Genomic DNA, 16,386 nt, shown 5'->3' with positions numbered 1-16,386 from the left:
ATCAACATATGATTAAATAATCAATATATTATTAATCCCTTAATTAATAATTAAGAAAGTTTGTCATTTTGGAGCCACACCAAACTGCTTTGGAATTTCTGCCAAGTCTCCATCTGAGAGCTTTATAAAAGGGGAAAAGCTGCACATCCCAAGCAAAGCCACATTAATTTTTTTTCAAATAGACTGTTTAAAAGTGCTGTAAATAATAAAACAGAAGCAACTGGATGCATAGATAATGTCTCCCAATCCAGGGGCACTTTTTTTTTTTTTTTTTTTTTTGAGACTGAGTCTTGCTCTGTCGCCCATGCTAGAGTGCAGTGGCACAATCTTGGCTCACTGCAAGTTCCGCCTCCCGGGTTCACACCATTCTCCTGCCTCAGCCTCCCGAGTAGCTAGTACTAGAGGCGCCTGCCACCATGCCTGGCTAATTTTTTGTATTTTTAGTAGAGACAGGGTTTCACCGTGTTAGCCAGGATGGTCTCAATCTCCTTGTGATCCGCCCGCCTCGGCCTCCCAAAGTGCTGGGATTACAGGCGTGAGCCACCGCGCCCGGCCCAGGGGCACTTCTCAGTGTAGTATCAGATCAGAATCCACTGTTAAATGATCAAGAATCACGTGAATGCCATTTTAGCTTCCACACGTTTCAGGGGACCTAATGAGACAGGGACCTGTGGGGTCCTTGGCCCAGTCCCGTGTTTTAGACTTTCTCCCGGTCCCCAGCTGGGCACCCAAGCCTTTATGTTTCCAAGAGTCTGGCCCAGGGGAGTTTGCTCCCAGCTGTCTTCCTGTCTTTCATAGATAGGACACCGGAAAATGCCAACCTGCCACCAGGTGCCGCCTTAATTTGGATGTGGAGTCCCTGAGGCCTTGTTTAGGGGAGTCAGAGAGCTGCGGAAGCCAGTCAGGAAGCTTGGGACTGCCACTCATTACAGACAGGGCGGTTGTCGCCCCAGGGAGGGTGAGGAGAGTCATCCCAGCGGGGGTAGGGGCACAGGAAGAAAGGGCTGGGGCTGGAGAGCAGCTCAGAGCTGCGGGTGAACCAGCTCGTACAATAGGACTGTGGATGACAATGCTTACAAACACACAGCACTTGAGGCCTACACAGATTAGCGGGGCTGGAGGAGGACCGGGAACCCCAAGAATAGCCCTTCTGCTGAGCCATGGGTGCCCCTCAGTGGACAGGCAGACAGAGGAGCTGGGGACCACATAGACACTTCCTCCACAGGAGCAAGCTCTCTGCACCATGGAGTACTGCGGCACTTCGGGCACCCAGGCCCCCGGGGACCCACGCGATATCCCCAAGAAAGCACTAAGTGCTGGGTACCTGCTTTACCATCTCTTGTCTATTCAGGGTGGAAGTGGGGCTACTCCCCAGCAAACCTCCCTTAGGCTGTGTCCTCTCAAACTTATGAGCTGCCTGAAGACGCCTGGTCACTGAGCTCACCAGCAGCCATCATCTGACTATGGCCACGACCCACCTGAGGGTTCATGCCTCGGGCTCTGAGAAGCCTCTCTCCCTCCGTCCAGGGCAGGCAGGGCCCACCTCTCTTTCTGGGCACAGCCTCTGAGCTCTCACCTTTGACAGTGCCTGGGGCTGACCCTCAGTGCTGGGGCTCACTGGGGCACCCGATGATCACCCTGGCTGGAGGAAGCACATACAGGCTGCAATGACCCCCAGGACCCCAGGAACAGGACATGGCATGGAGGCTGGGAGCATTCGGCCCTCTCATGGGAAGAGCAGGACAGGTGGTCTCAGGCTGGTCTTGCTATTGAGAACCAGCAAACTGGAATTTGCACCAAACAGAGAGTGCACACAACTGGGGCTGCAGAGGTCCACTCCACCTGGCCCTCATGGGGTCCAGCAGTGGACACAAAACCCAATTCAGGGCTGTACTTCTCTAATATTAGAAACTTATTTTTCTTTCTTTCTTTTTTTTAAAAAAAGACATGCATTTGGAATTGAAGAATCTTAAAAGTGGCTCTGGAAACAAAGTCCAGTAAACATTAGTCTGCCCTGCTGTGGGACAGCCCGGGTACAACAGTGACCTTGTGCACATCTAAAAGTGAGTCCTGGGCTGAGGGGCCCAGGAAACACCAGCCAGAGGCTTCCTGTGGTAGTCGGGTTTCCTGAGTATCCAGCGCGCGCGCGCACACACACACACACACACACACACACCCCTACCTCTATTTATGTAAGGAAATCACCCTCCCCGCAGAGTCCTCCACTTGGTTCCCATTACAGAAATATAAAGCGAAGATGCGACCATCCCACCCCGCCTGCCCTACTTTCCCACCCCTGAGCTCTGCTCAGCCCACTTCTTGGCATAATGGACATGCACCTGCCTCCCTGTCCTTGTGGGCTCTCGTTCACAGGGCACACTGTCTTCCACTGTTTTTCTGGCTGGGATAGTGAGTGCCCAGGATAACAAGTGCAGAGACTGCCAGAGCCAGGCCCAGTGAAGGCCCATCAGCCCCGTGCAGGATGCCCAGGTTCAGTATTTGAAACAGCCAGATGGTAGCCCAGACCAGAGCTTAGACACAACCCAGGCCAGACCAGAGCCGCAGACTAGAACAGCCAGACCAGAACTTAGACAGAACCCAGACCACACCCAGACAGAACCCAGACCACACCCAGACAGAACCCAGACCACACCCAGACAGAACCCAGACCAGACCCAGATCAGACCCAGACAGAACCCAGACCAGACCCAGACAGAACCCAGACCACACCCAGACAGAACCCAGACCAGACCCAGACAGAACCCAGACCACACCCAGGCAGAACCCAGACCACACCGAGACAGAACCCAGACCAGACCCAGATAGAACTCAGACCAGACCCAGACAGAACCCAGACCAGACCCAGACAGAACTCAGACCAGACCCAGACAGAACCCAGACCACACCCAGACAGAACCCAGACCACACCCAGACAGAACCCAGATCAGACCCAGAAAGAACCCAGACCACACCCAGACAGAACCCAGAGCAGACCCAGACAGAACCCAGACCAGACCCAGACAGAACTCAGACCACACCCAGACAGAACCCAGATCAGACCCAGACAGAACCCAGACCAGACCCAGACAGAACTCGGACCACACCCAGACAGAACCCAGATCAGACCCAGAAAGAACCTAGACCAGACCCAGATCAGACCCAGACAGAACCCAAACCAGACCCAGACAGAACCCAGACCACACCCAGACCAGGTCTAGAGAGAACCCAGATTAGACCTAGACAGAACCCAGACAGAACCCAAACCAGACCAGAGCCTCAGACCAGACACTAAACGGAACTCAGATAAAAACTGCAGACCAGAACCCGCGAGAGCGCTAGGCGGGCAGGGCCGGCCTCTGTGAGCCTGGGTGGGAGGAAGGCTCCACTCCCCATTTATCTTTAATCAGTGTCTGTTTCCCCCTTTCCCTGCACCAACCCTAAAGTCTTTATCAATTGCTGGGTTGTCTCTGAGCACTGCATGCTAAGAAGAAATGATGCAACTTAATCCTTTTTTAGGGGACATAAATTCATAGTCAATTAATCAAGGCAAAAAAAGCCATAAGTTCAACCAGACTCCTCTGGGAAATGGAAAGAAATGGGAGGTGAGGGCCATCGAGAACCAGAGGAGAGAATGGGGTCTGAGCAGGGCCCCAGGCACCAGACACCTGCTCAGGAATTAATTCCCTAAGTGACACCAGCAGGCTACGTATCTTCTTGGGGCCCTAATGTCAACATCTGTAAAAGAGAACCGGACAAGATGGTTTCTAGTGTAGTCTTAATTACCCTAGAAAGGAAGCAAATGCTCTATGAGCCTGTGAAAATCCTTGCTCCTTAACACAAAATATGGGAGCTTAGCAAGGGGCACAACTAGCAGTGCCCGGGGCTGTGGTCATCGCCAGAGGACAGAGATGGGAGGAGGATAGAAGAGTGCTCCAGATAGGGTGGTGACGGACTGCCCTTGGAGCCGCAGACCTACATGATCAGAGAGGAGCAAATCCCTTGGGATATTCCAAAGACAACCCACAGAGTCTATCTCTGCCCCTTTTATGGTTTGTTCCCTAAGATGATGCATACTTGGGAGAGACAGGAACAGAGCATGCTGGTCCTTCAGAGCTACTCACTATAAAAGGAGCAGTGGAAGCACCTTGATCCCAAACCCTCCTAATCAGACTCACCTTGGCTGAATTTCATATTGCAATTCTTTTATTTTATTTTATTTTATTTTATTTATTTATTTTGAGACAGAGTCTCGCTCTGTCACCCAGGCTGGAGTGCAGTGGCGCAATCTCGGCTCACTGCAAACTCTGCCTCTTGGGTTCAAGCGATTCTCCTGCCTCAGCCTCCTGAGTAGCTGGGATTACAGGTGCGCACCACCATGCCAGGCTAATTTTTTGTATTTTTAGTAGAGATGTGGTTTCACTGTGTTAGCCAGGATGGTCTCAATCTCCTGACCTCGTGATCCGCCCACGTGGGCCTCCCAAAGTGCTGGGATTACAGATGTGAGCCACCACACCCAGCTTCATATTGCAATTCACAAGTCCACTGTCAAAGCAAAACCAAGAGCAAGCCCACTTATCCAGGCTTAAGAGAGAAGAACCCTGTCCAGGAAGGGGAGGCCTATAGATTAATCCCTCAAGCCACGAGGGGCAAGCTATGGCAGTGCGCGAGGGGGCTGCCTCACTAAGGGGGAGGCCAGGGCCGGCAGGACACCACTGACTGTAGAGGTGGAGAAAAATGTCTCCAGGCCATCCCAGCCTGCGGTCCTGAGCCAGCTCGCAGTCCGGTGTAGTGGACCAGAGGTGCACATCTGGAAAGCCTGAGAAGTCAACAGTGGTCAGGCCGCCCTGTGGTGTGTTAGAGCTGACCCCTTTCCAGGGCTCATCCTCTCACAGCCCCGGAGGCTGGAAGTCCTCACTGGAAGTGCCCTCAGGGCCGTGCTCCCCCTGAACGTGCTAGGGGAGGACCTCCCCTGTCTCTGCCAGCCGCTGGTGCTCCAGGTGTTCCTTGACTCGTGGCTGCCTCCCTTTGATCTCTCCTCTGTCTGCGCATGGGCCTCTCCCCTGTGTATCTGTGACTCTGTGTCCAAATTCCCATCTTCTTATCCAGACAGCTGTCATATGAGATCAGGGGCCCACCCTACTTCAGCATGACCTCATCTTAACTAATGCCATCTGCAGTGACTCTGTTTCAAGTAAGGCCACATTCTTAGGGAGCAGGGGTTAGAACTTCAACATATCTATTTGGGGGATGCAACTCAACCCACAGCAGAGCACAATGCTAGGGAGAAAGCGTCACCCGGGGCTGCTGCACTGGATGCAGCCTCCAGGAGGAAACTGACCTGTGGGTGCAGGAATGAGGGACGTGAGGGCCTGAGCACTCTGGACTCTGTTATCGGGGTGCAGCCCTGCCCGAGCACAGCTGCAGCTCCTATGAACCCCTGTGTGCACTCGGAAAGATGGTGTGAAGCTGTCCTGCATGGGGATGGGGGGCCAGCACAAGCGAGCACCAACAAGCTGGCTCTGATCTCGAGGAGCTCAGCCAAAGGGCCCAAGAGGTGGCACCCTCCCACTCACTGTCTGCCACCACGGGCAGAAACCATGAGAGCTAGTGGCCTCAAGGCCAGAGATGGAGTCCTGGTGTTGTCAAGGCTTCCCAAGACCCAACCCTCCCCATGCACGTGCCCCCAGTCAAGACCCTGGAGAGCTCCCCAGAGCACACCAACCAGCACCCCAAACAGCGCTCCTCTATCTCTTCTCTCCTGGTCCTCCCCCTTTCCCCATGTGGCCATCTCTCCCCCACCTCCTTCCCTCTCTCCTCTGTCTCCCTCTCTCTCCTCTCTGTCTCTCCTCCTCTCTCTCTTTCTCTCCACCTTCTCTCTCTTGCCCTTCACCTTTCCTTTGCCAGCATCCTCTGAGAAGTAGGAACCTCACCTTTCCATCTCTAAACATTCGGCCCTGGCCCAGTGTAGATACTCAAGTGTCGCTGAATGGATGGATGAATGGATGAATGGATGAACAGATGGATGAATGGATGAATGGATGAATGGATGGATGGATGGACAGATGGATGAATAGATGAATGAATGGATGGATAGATTGACGGATGGATGGATGGACAGATGGATGGAAGGATGGATGGATGGATGGACAGAGGGACAGACAGATGGATGGATGAACAGATGTTTAAAAACCACGCAGATGAAGCATTTAGTAATGTTTAAAATTAAGTGAATACTAAAGAGTTTCCTGAGTTATCCCCTCCTTCAGAATGAGCCACTTTTAGAACATTAGAGATTCAGAGACAGCCTGTGCAGACATCCCGAATTCCGGTGATCATGAGTATAAGGAGATAACGCTGGAATGAAGCTGCTCCTCCTAAAGGCCAGCTGGCCAACCCCAAACCAGGCACCCCAGATGAGCAGGGCATCCGACAGCCGCCATGTGACGCACGTCTTCTTCTGCTTCCAGCTCTGTCACTGCCCTGGAGGCCCTGAGAATGTCAGCTCCATGAGGACGTGAGCAAGACCAGCTTCTTGATTATCATGCCCCGCGAACCTGGAATGGAGCCTGCACAATGGTTACTGGAAGGAAATGTTCGTGGCACTCACAAGACAGGAAGGGCTCTTGGCACAAATGAACCTTGAGCAACATCCCGTCTCAGGCAACGCCGTGGCCTTGTCGTCTCTTCCCACACCTCCCTTCTGACAGGACAGACCCCTTTGGGACCAGAGCCATCAGGCAATGCCCAGAGGCCACTGCAGGCCCAGCCGCCTGGCCCCTCCCCACAGTCTAACGGCAGGATCAACCTACTTCAGGCATTTTTACGGGGTTGCTGGCTCCGTCTGTCTTGTGTTACATAAGCACAAACCCCTCCCCAAGTGGGCGAGACAGAAGTCATCAGGAAACCCGTAGACAATGGCCATGGAAATGTGCCTGTTGTGTTCACTTCTGAGTAATTACATTTTGCTGTAAATGTCGCTGAGGTGTAGAAAACACAGAGAAGTGCGCAGACCATAAATACACAGCTTCACATGCTTTTCCAGATCGAACACACCAGGGTCCCAGCCCCCAGATCAGAACTGGGACATGGCCCACTCCTAGGAGCTCCCTCACGTCCCCTTCCTGTCGCTTCAGGGCTAACTACTTTTAAATCTAAAGTAAACCCCCAAAGGTGTTGATTTTTAAACAAAGAAATACAACTTTTCCAAAACAAACAATAAAAAAGACGGTTTCCTCCCTTGGAAATGAAGGCAACATTCCTTTGCCCATGGAAAAGTCAAGGCACCTTTCTGAGATGGAGATTACCCCCCAGTAATCCCATGAGCCCTGTTAGCTGCTGTGGCTGGGCTATACCACTTGCCAGACAGCCCCTGGAACAAGGTGGTTCCGGTCTAGAAGGAATTTCAGGAAGGCACTGAATGTTTACATTTCCTACATTAGCTAACAGTGCTTTGCAAAGAGAACCGAGACCTGTCAACTGTCAACACCTAGGAAGAGTCGGGGGACACGGCAGCATCGCTCGGGGCTAGGAGAGTTTTCCTCACTCTGTAGAAATGTGCCCTTGAAGGAGGCACAGGCAGGGCCAGCCCAGTCCCCTGGCAGAGGCCATGAGTCACAGAACGGGCCTCACCAGGCCAGAGCTCACTGGGGTGGGCACCGCGCCAGCCTTGCTCCTGTCACTCCGCTTAGGCCTCACAGCAAGCGACTACTGTGTTCTTCTCCATCTTTTACAGGTGACATACAAGAGCTTGGAGAGGGTTAATGACCTGCTCAAGGTCACACGGTAGGTCAGCAGAGGATCCAAGATTCCAACCCCTTCTGCCAAACCCGGAGGCGGCTCTTGCACCCGGGGCCAAGAGTGCCTTTGCCAGGCCCCGCAGAGCGGTTCCCAGCCGTTCCCCTCCTCCCTCCCTCCTCCTCCGAGTGGGCATATTCCCATTGAATCAATACAGTCAGCTCAATCCAGAATTGTGCATTTAGTCTGATATCGCATGAAATATTGAACAGAGGATCAGAAGGAATTTCAAGCCTTTCCCCTCATAAAGAAGAAACCCCGTGGGTCACCTAAGGCTAAGAATACCACCCAGGTGTGGGCAGGGTAGCTGGCAGCGCTGATGCAGTGAGATGCTCTGAAATCTACGGCCGTAAGAATTCCTATGCCCATTCAAAGAGATCTTCACTTGTGCAACTGACCTTTACCTTTCAATTTATTTTTCATTCCACAAAACATCCTCAGAAAAAAGAAGAATTCTTGCCAGGATGTGGGAAGGTCTCCTGTCCCTTACGGAGGACTCAAGCCCTGTTTACATGAAGGACTCCTTGCAGCCTCTGCTAGGAAGTATGCTTCCCCAAGCCAAATGCATGCTCCCTAAGGCTTCGTGTGAGAAAAACCTCTCCTACTACCTGCCCAGCAACCAAGGGATCTGAGCCCCTTGGGAACCATTAACCCCCCAGTCCTGGTTACCTGCAGAACATAATAAGCAAGTGACTAGCTCACTCAGGTTTCATTGAACGAGTTGCAGTTTGGAAAGGGGCCGGCTGCTTCTCGAGAGACCCTGGGGAAGATCGGTCATTGGGTTTTGTTTCCCAGCAGCACCAACAAAGGCGTGTTGTCCACCTGCACTGGGCTGGGCTGGGACCAGGTGAAGTGGGCACCCGCAGAGAATCAGGGCCTTGTTTTGTGGTTGTCCAAATGTCAAATGTTACTCTGATAGCTCAGCGTTCTGACCTCTCCGTGAGTTAAGTACGCCATAAACATAAATGTGGATAAACAGCAGGGACAAGAGGCCATCCTGTGTTTATGGAGCTCCGCGGCCGAGGTTGCAGCGTGTTTCACCATCCTTGTCTTGTTCACTCACCCGCCAGCTTCCCGAGGGGGCCGGGCCAGGCAGGACATTCCTCTTCCAAGCCAGAGCGAGGCAATGCGTCTCCTCACAAGCGGGCAGTCCCCGATACACAGAGGGACTCTCGCTCGGGGTTTCAGTGGAGAGAGGGGGTGGGGAGCTGCCCAAGCTTCCCCCAGGCCCCTGTGGATTCTGTGCCCCTTCGACCAGGCCAGGGAGTCTGCGATGGAGTTTGCTATCCTGCTTGTCTGTTTTCTCAGGAGTCATCCTTTCTCATGGGAGAAGATGCCATGCAGACAGTACTGTTCCCACCGGCCGCTCCCGTCACCCCACATCCAGGAGGTCAGCTTTCCAACCGCAAACATCAAAACACTGTCACCCTGGCCTGAGCACAGCAGGGTATCTGAAATCCCCTCACAAATGCCTCCGTTTAGTAAACTTGCAGCCAGCAGGACTCCAGAGCTGCCTGGGTGGGGCGGGAGAGGGGGGGTGGTGGAGAGGGGGAAGGAGGACAAGAGCACCCGCCCCCACCTCACCGTACTAGAAGAAGAAAGAGGGTAGAAAACGGGAGAGAGGGGCCGGGTACGGTGACTCATGCCTGTAATCCCAGCACTTTGGGAGGCCGAGGCGGGTGGATCACAAGGTCAGGAGATCGAGACCATCCTGGCTAACATGGTGAAACCCTGTCTCTACTAAAAATACAAAAAATTAGCCGGGTGTGGTGGCTGGCGCCTGTAGTCCCAGCTACTCAGGAGGCTGAGGCAGGAGAATCGCTTGAACGAGGGAGGCGGAGGAGGTTGCAGTGAGCTGAGATGGTGCCACTGCACTCCAGCCTGGCAGAGCGAGACTCCGTCTCAAAAAAAAAAAGAAAATGGGAGAGAGGGAGGCACACAGCTGTGGGGCTGTGGGGAAAAGTGGGTAGCTCATGGGGGAACAGAGGTGGGGTTTGCTTTCTGGGTCCTTGTTCAGTTTCTGGGATGCCTCTATTTTCCTTCCTTCCTGCTAAGGGATATTTTCCTCTCCTTGGCTCCTTGGCAGGAGCTGCTTGGGGCTGAGTGCAAAGACTGAGAGGGGAAGTAAGAAGTCCATCCTGCTGCACTGTCACCTCTAATGCCACCAGTTGGTGTGCGTTTGGTGGAGGGGGTCACTGGGGAGTTGGGGCCCTTCCATGCGGCTCCTCTCCTCCCTAAATAACATGGTTTTAGATATTCTGGTGAGCTCTTTTGAAAATCTTTTCAACTTCAAAAGAACCCAAACAAAATCCTGCAGAGGGAACCCTGGGGAGGGAGACTCTGCCACACTCAGGCTCCCCGGCTTGTGTTTCACAGGTGATGAGCCCCTGGCAGGAGCAGCAGCGTCATGGGTCTCAGCATCTCAGGCCCCCTCGAGAGGAGCCCTGGCCCCAGCCGGGCCACCATTCGGCTCCGTGGTGGAAGCTGGGTCCTAGAAATGCTTGCCGCCCAATGCCACCTGCAGGGTTGAAGTGAGCATCTACTCTGAATGCCTTTAGGGCCACGTGACCAGCTTCACCCGAGAAGCAACACAACTCATCCTCACCTTCCTCCATGGGATCGCCAGGAAACCCCCAACCATAGGCCCTTCCTGCCCCATGAGCTGCTGACAAGACTTTGCCACTGATAGCGACCACCCCCAGGTGATGGGGCCCTCCCTGGACTTGGACTGACCACGTGCAGGATGCCGCACTGGCCTGAAGAAACCAGGAGGGAAGGGGAAGAGCAAGCCAACACCACCGTCCAACCCACAGCTGCTGAGCTTCAGGGCCGCTCAAGCCTGGGGGCCTTCTTTCTCCCGCTGTGCTCCTTTGCCATTGGCCTCTCTCTCCCCTGCTCTTTTCCTTTCTTCCATCCAAAGGGAGGAGGGAATGGGCTAATGAGAAAACACCCCACCTCTGCCTCTTCCTAAACCATGACCTGTGGCAAGTGGCAAATCTGTGAGCTGCTTTCCCTCAAGTATACTCCCATCACCGAGTAACTGTGTGGATTACATGCACGTGCGAATGCCCACTGGTTTGCAAACACGTGGCTCTAGCAACCTTGTCAGTTTTTATCAAATGAGTGACAGTTAGGAAACAAGGTAATGGCCAGCTCCGCAGAGGCAATGCCACTCGATTTGCCTCCATAGCCTGAGGGCCCACATGATGACTCCAGCCAGCCAGCCTCAGTCAATGCACCTTGAGTGGACGGTTGGATGGGGGCATGATGACAATGCTTGAGCCCTGTAGGCCAGACATCGGCACCCTTTTTCCCTGAAGAGCTGAATCACAGACATTTTCGATTTTGCAGGACACGCAGTCTGTCACAAACACTGAGCTCTCCAGTTTAGCAGAAGCTAAAGCTGCCACCTGTACATGCACGGCTGTGGCTACTGCAACAAAACTTCACTTACAAACTCAGGCAGAGCACAGATCTGGTCTCCAGGCTGTGCTTTGCTGACTCTGCTCCAGAACTTTGGAGCTGAGCCCAGCACCAGCGACATCTGGGAACGCAATGTCGTCTCTCTCACACCAAGACATGTCTCCCAGGCAGGGGCCTTTGCAAGGTGGAAGAAAATCCAGCTAAGGCTGGGGATGCACCCTGTGTTCTTGGGGGAAAACAGGGTATGAGAACAGGACAACTGAGGCAGGTCTGAGAGAAAGGCAAGCTTGGATCACCACCAGGAACAAGGGAAAGCACTGGCTATGCCCTCAAGGAGCTCCGAATCCTACGGTTCTCCAGAATTCTGGAGTGAACGACTCAAACTCCCCTCACATGAGAAGGTTGATTTGTCAGCTGATAAAGAAAGTTCTGGAGCAGCTCCCTCCTGGGTGCTTCTAGACAGCCACTGTGCCCTCCTAATTAGGGAACAAAGCTGCTGCTGGGGGCACCACTCAGAGCTGCAGCTTTCAGAGCCACCTGCAGGGGGCAGCCCTCATCCCGAGTCTTACAGCAGCTGCCAGCAGGCGCCCTACTCCCCTGAGAGGCAGAGGAAGGCTGACCTCGGCTGTTCTCTAGTAGAATGCTCTAGAGGAGGATTAATGGAGGGATGGATGGAGGGATGGATGGAGAGGCTGATAGAGTGGATGGAGATATGGGTGTTTCCAAAATTCAACCGGATACACAGGGAACATGTTCAAGGCAACCCCCAGTTGCAAATCCCAGAGTGAGTTTCAGGAGTGCAGCACTGGGGACTCAGGGTGTGGTGAACTCTGGATGGAGAGAGGGATGCATTGAGGGATGGAGGAAGGGATGGAGGAAGATATGGAGGGAGGGATGGGGGGGATATGGAAGGTGGGATGGAGGGAAGGATGGAGGGAGAGATGGAAAGAGGGATGGAGGGAGGAATAGAGGGAGGGATGGAGGAGGGATAGAGGAAGACATGAAGGGAGGGATGGAGAGAGAAATAGATGGAGAGATAAAGGGAGGGATGGGTGGAGGGAAGAATTAATGGAGGAACAGATGGAGGGATGGTTGGAGAGGCTTATGGAGTGGGTGGGGAAATGGGAGGAAGGATGGATGGAGTAAATGAAGGGATGAGTGGAGGGATGAGTGGAGGGGAGGATTAATGGAGGGATGGATGGAGAGGCTGATGGAGTGGATGGGGAAAAGTGTGGAAGGATGGATGGAGTGGATGAAGAGGTGAGTTGAGGGATGAGTGGAGGGATGGATGGAGAGGCTGATGGAGTGGATGGGGAAATGGGAGGAAGGATGGATGGAGTAAATGAAGGGATGAGTGGAGGGATGGATGGAGAGGCTGATGGAGTGGATGGGAAAATGGGAGGAAGGATGGATGGAGTAAATGAAGGGATGAGTGGAGGGATGAATGGAGGGGAGGATTAATGGAGTGATGGATGGAGGGAAGGATCTTCATGAAGCCTCAGTCTGTTCCTGAAGAACGCCTTTTCTAGCATGGGCCTCGCGGTGCAGGGAGACCTCTTGGGACTGTGTATGCAGTTCAGTGGCCAGTGTAAGCACATATGCAAGTATGACATTCTTCTTTGCCACACATTTCAACACATTCTGATTTCTGGAATATTTCATCCACTGTGGAAGGCAGTAAGCATTGTTGGAATGTGGCCAAAGTGAGGAGGCTGGCTGGAGTCTGGAGCTCTCAGTACGGTCCTTCCCCAGGGTCACCGCCACGCCCTACACAGCTGTCTCAGCAACATGCTTTAGGACAAGAACGCTTCAGGTGGAAGGGGGATGGCCCCCAGCACGTCCACTCCCACTGCCAAATGAGCTCCAAGTACGTCCTGCTAACACTGTTTGTAGTCACCAGTCCTGTATCTGTATGATAGCACCGGGCAATGGAAGAATAACTCAGGCCAGATGCTGCAGAGGCTGCGGGTGCCATGGATATTCTACATAGACTCCAGCCCAGCTGGGTTCCCAAAAAGCTGCCTGCAAATTGATTGACTGGAATCTCCTGGGGAGTTTGAGAAACGCTTCTGAAGGAATTGGCCTGGGGCATGACCCAGGAGATTCCAGTGGGCCCTGAAATTTCCAAATCGGCTCTAGATTCGGCCTCTAATTAGCCGTGTGACCTTGGGCAAGTTCCTTGAGTTTTTAAAATTTGTTTTCTTCATCTGGTAATGGGCATGAAATGAGTACTTAACCTTAAGGGTGTCTGTGAAGACCAAACAAGAGAATGTGTTCGAAATGCCTCACATTGAGCCCGGCATATAGAAAATGGTTAATAAACACTGGCTGCTGCTGGAGTTGCAATTACAGACAAAACATCACAACAAAATGCATGCTGGAAAGTGCAAGCAATGTGAGAAGGACGGCAAGAGGGGTCTCTCTTCATTTCCGGGAGTGACAGCTGCGCTGACATAGCCACGTGAATTAAGAATCCTGACTGGGTCCTGGAGCCTGGGGAGGGCATGAGCTCCCACCAAGGAGAGTGGACCTAAGGCTTCACATTGCAGACCCAGTTCCTTAAGCTCGTGATCATTTCTGAAGAGCCAGAGCCTATTCCTGCAATGCTCCCAGATCCCTCTGAATGCAGAGAAGCCATCAGTCTCTGGGAGGAGCAGAAAGGGCTGCCTGGTGGGAACCCTGTCCCCAGCACTCTGAGAGCTGACCTGTGCCTGTAAAAACTGTGAGAACTGCTTTCTCTTCATGGGTCAGTGTCCCAGAGAATGCAGATGGGATATTTGTTGTGACATTATTTCTCATCACCCAGGCACGCAGGTGACCTGGAGCCACAGCCATCTGTAGCCAGTACACCCAGCCAGGGTGTGGATACTCTGCGGCCTCTGGATACTCTGACAGGAAGGTGTGAGTAGGGACCAGACACCACAGTCTGGCCAAGAGAATGGCGGTACAGACAGACCAACCTCTCCTGACCATGTCCCGGAGCCCCAGCAGAGAGGGCCCACCCTCTGTAGACTCCGGGCAAAAGTTGGAAGACCACCTCCTGGCGGGAGGGCAGGCAGGTAAGTGTTCTGTCTGTTGCACTGCTAGCATCTTTCTTGTATGGGAAACCACTTATGAGGTTTAATCTGCCTAAATGATCGCAGCAGCCCTAAAAGGGAGGTATATCACGCCCAGGTTTCACAAGACAGGGAGAGGCTTGGGAAGGTCACGGGCCTCACCCAGAGACCCTTGGAAAGAAAGGGTGCACACCTGGATCCAAGTCAAGGCACCTGACTCCCAGTGGCTCCCCCTAATGGCTGCTACTGCTCTAGGGGCTCCCTGGCTCCAGCTGGTTCACTCTGGGGGACACAAAGAGATGTCCTAGAAAACAAAGTGGACATTTGTCCAATAACAAAAGTTCCCAAAGACTACACTATCAACCATAGCCCCATTCTCTGCAGAACTCACCAGTTAAGAAGGAGAAGGCTCAGGGTGCTGTTCCCCAGGAGCCCGAGAGGCCACGGCAGGAGAACTGGAGAGATTTTCATTGAAAGTCGGGCCACATCCCCTCTAAACAGGTGAGGGGCTTGAGCATGGATTAAAGGGAAAGTCAACACAAACAAAACCAGGAGAAACAATGAGTTTGGGCTCTGAGAGCTGCTCTGTGATTTCTGTGAAAACATCCCAGCCCTAAGTGGGGAAGAGAAGAGCTCACAGCTGAAATTCTAACTGGCGTTTCAGCCTCCTCGTGCGCTCCTTCTGCCTATTACAACTGAAGGGGCCCTCAGTGAGTGCGTCTGCCCTGTACACACAGTGTGCACACACAGGCCATGATACACACCCATGCCATGCACACACCATGTGCACACAGGCACACGCGCATGCACACACACCCACACATGGACATGTGTGCACTCACACCATGCACTCAGACACACATCACATACACGTCTACCCATATACACACATGTGCATCATGTGCACACACACCATGTACACACAATCATGCGTGCACAGACACACCATGTACACACTATCATATGTAGGCACAGACACACCATGTACATACATCCTGTGTGCACACACACGCCCCCTGCACACCGCGCCCCACTGGCTGACTAGTTCATCAGATCACTAGCAACGGGGCCCTGCCCCTGCGCAGGTACTGAAATATAACTGGAAATCATTTACATCTGCCTGTCAGGCATGAAGCATTTTCCATCCCTGCGGTATTTTTATACTTCTAAAAGCAGAACTGGTCTTTTTCCAGGCTTCTAAACCTGGCTGGAACAATTAAGAATAAAATCCTTCCCATTATTTAAATTATGCCAATAGCACCAATAAGGTTGCCAAATGATCTCCAAGTCTCACATCAACTTCAATCTGAAAACTACACAGCAGGACCCAGTTTCCCCACCCAAAGCCGTGATTTTTCTTTGGATGCCAACATTGATGGGATGAGCCCAGCTGCGCTACACTCCCTCCCCTCCCCCTCGCTCCCCATTCATCTCAGCCCAGAGCTGAAAGGGGCTTCTGCTCAGAACGGGCTGTCTTGTTCTCCCAGACCCCTCTTCCTCCCTCCCCAAGAGAAAGCTCAAGGCAGAAAGGACAGAAATCCATATTCTATGACATCCAGTGACATTTCCTTTTTACTCTACTTGTTTCTTCCCCCTAATGCCTAAGGGCCTTCTCATCGACCGCCTCCATTTTCGTGATCATGTGGCAAAGCCACGCGCTGATCAATCCTCTTGCTTTTTGCACCTTCTGAAACAGGAAGGGGGCTTTTGTGCCAACAAGAAGAACAGGAAGAAGGTCTGGGAAGTTGGGCTTAATAACATCAAAATGGATCTCAAAACACACGTGAGGGATTCTAAGTCACAGGGGGCAAGAACTGCTCATAAAATGAAGACAGTATCATTTGCCCACTAGTGTGCAAAGGACAGGCCACCCCTCCCTACCACCCCTCAGTGAGTGTGGGGCAGGAAGCCCACTCTGGCGCCAGGAGAACAGCTGATTTAATTTGTCAGACTATGAAAATCTGCCGCTGGATTTCGAACGGATGCTGTGCTCTGAAGTCCACTGGATGACAGGCAAAGCTGCAAGCATCTATGTGGTTTCTCCAAGCATGACTTTAATGGCCTTAACATGGTCACCCGGCCACAGCCAAGGATTGTTTTCTTGTGTCATCCG

General features: G+C 52.8%; 1 protein-coding gene across 12 annotated transcripts in view, besides 1 other annotated feature; it reads right to left on the bottom strand.

The window, feature by feature from the left end:
• ABCG1 (ATP binding cassette subfamily G member 1) overlaps positions 1–16,386 on the bottom strand; it is a 97,556-nt gene that overhangs the window by 26,706 nt on the left and 54,464 nt on the right. Inside the window, exons 1-3 of one of the 12 annotated variants that reach the window (XM_024452141.2) lie at positions 13,923–14,205; positions 11,034–11,224; positions 10,400–10,550 (exon numbers count right to left, since the gene is read on the bottom strand). The exons of the other annotated variants lie outside the window; for them this stretch is intronic. Coding sequence (XP_024307909.1) covers positions 10,400–10,550; positions 11,034–11,224; positions 13,923–14,190 — 610 coding nt within the window. The 5' untranslated portion in view covers positions 14,191–14,205. Of the gene's footprint in view, positions 1–10,399; positions 10,551–11,033; positions 11,225–13,922; positions 14,206–16,386 lie in introns of those variants that run through there. 12 annotated transcript variants of the gene reach the window in all.
• Positions 8,931–9,431: an enhancer, noted in NCBI's record as "H3K4me1 hESC enhancer chr21:43681218-43681718 (GRCh37/hg19 assembly coordinates)". NCBI's record gives its function as "activates a minimal SCP1, AML or CMV promoter by ChIP-STARR-seq in primed H9 embryonic stem cells {active_cell/tissue: H9 hESC(primed)}" and the evidence as "EXISTENCE:reporter gene assay evidence [ECO:0000049][PMID:30033119]".

Source organism: Homo sapiens, chromosome 21 (genome assembly GCF_000001405.40).
Source record: "Homo sapiens chromosome 21, GRCh38.p14 Primary Assembly".
Classification (NCBI taxonomy): Eukaryota; Metazoa; Chordata; class Mammalia; order Primates; family Hominidae; genus Homo; species Homo sapiens.
The sequence above is the reverse complement of the archived record's forward strand: the minus strand, read 5'-3'. Positions and strand labels throughout refer to the sequence as shown.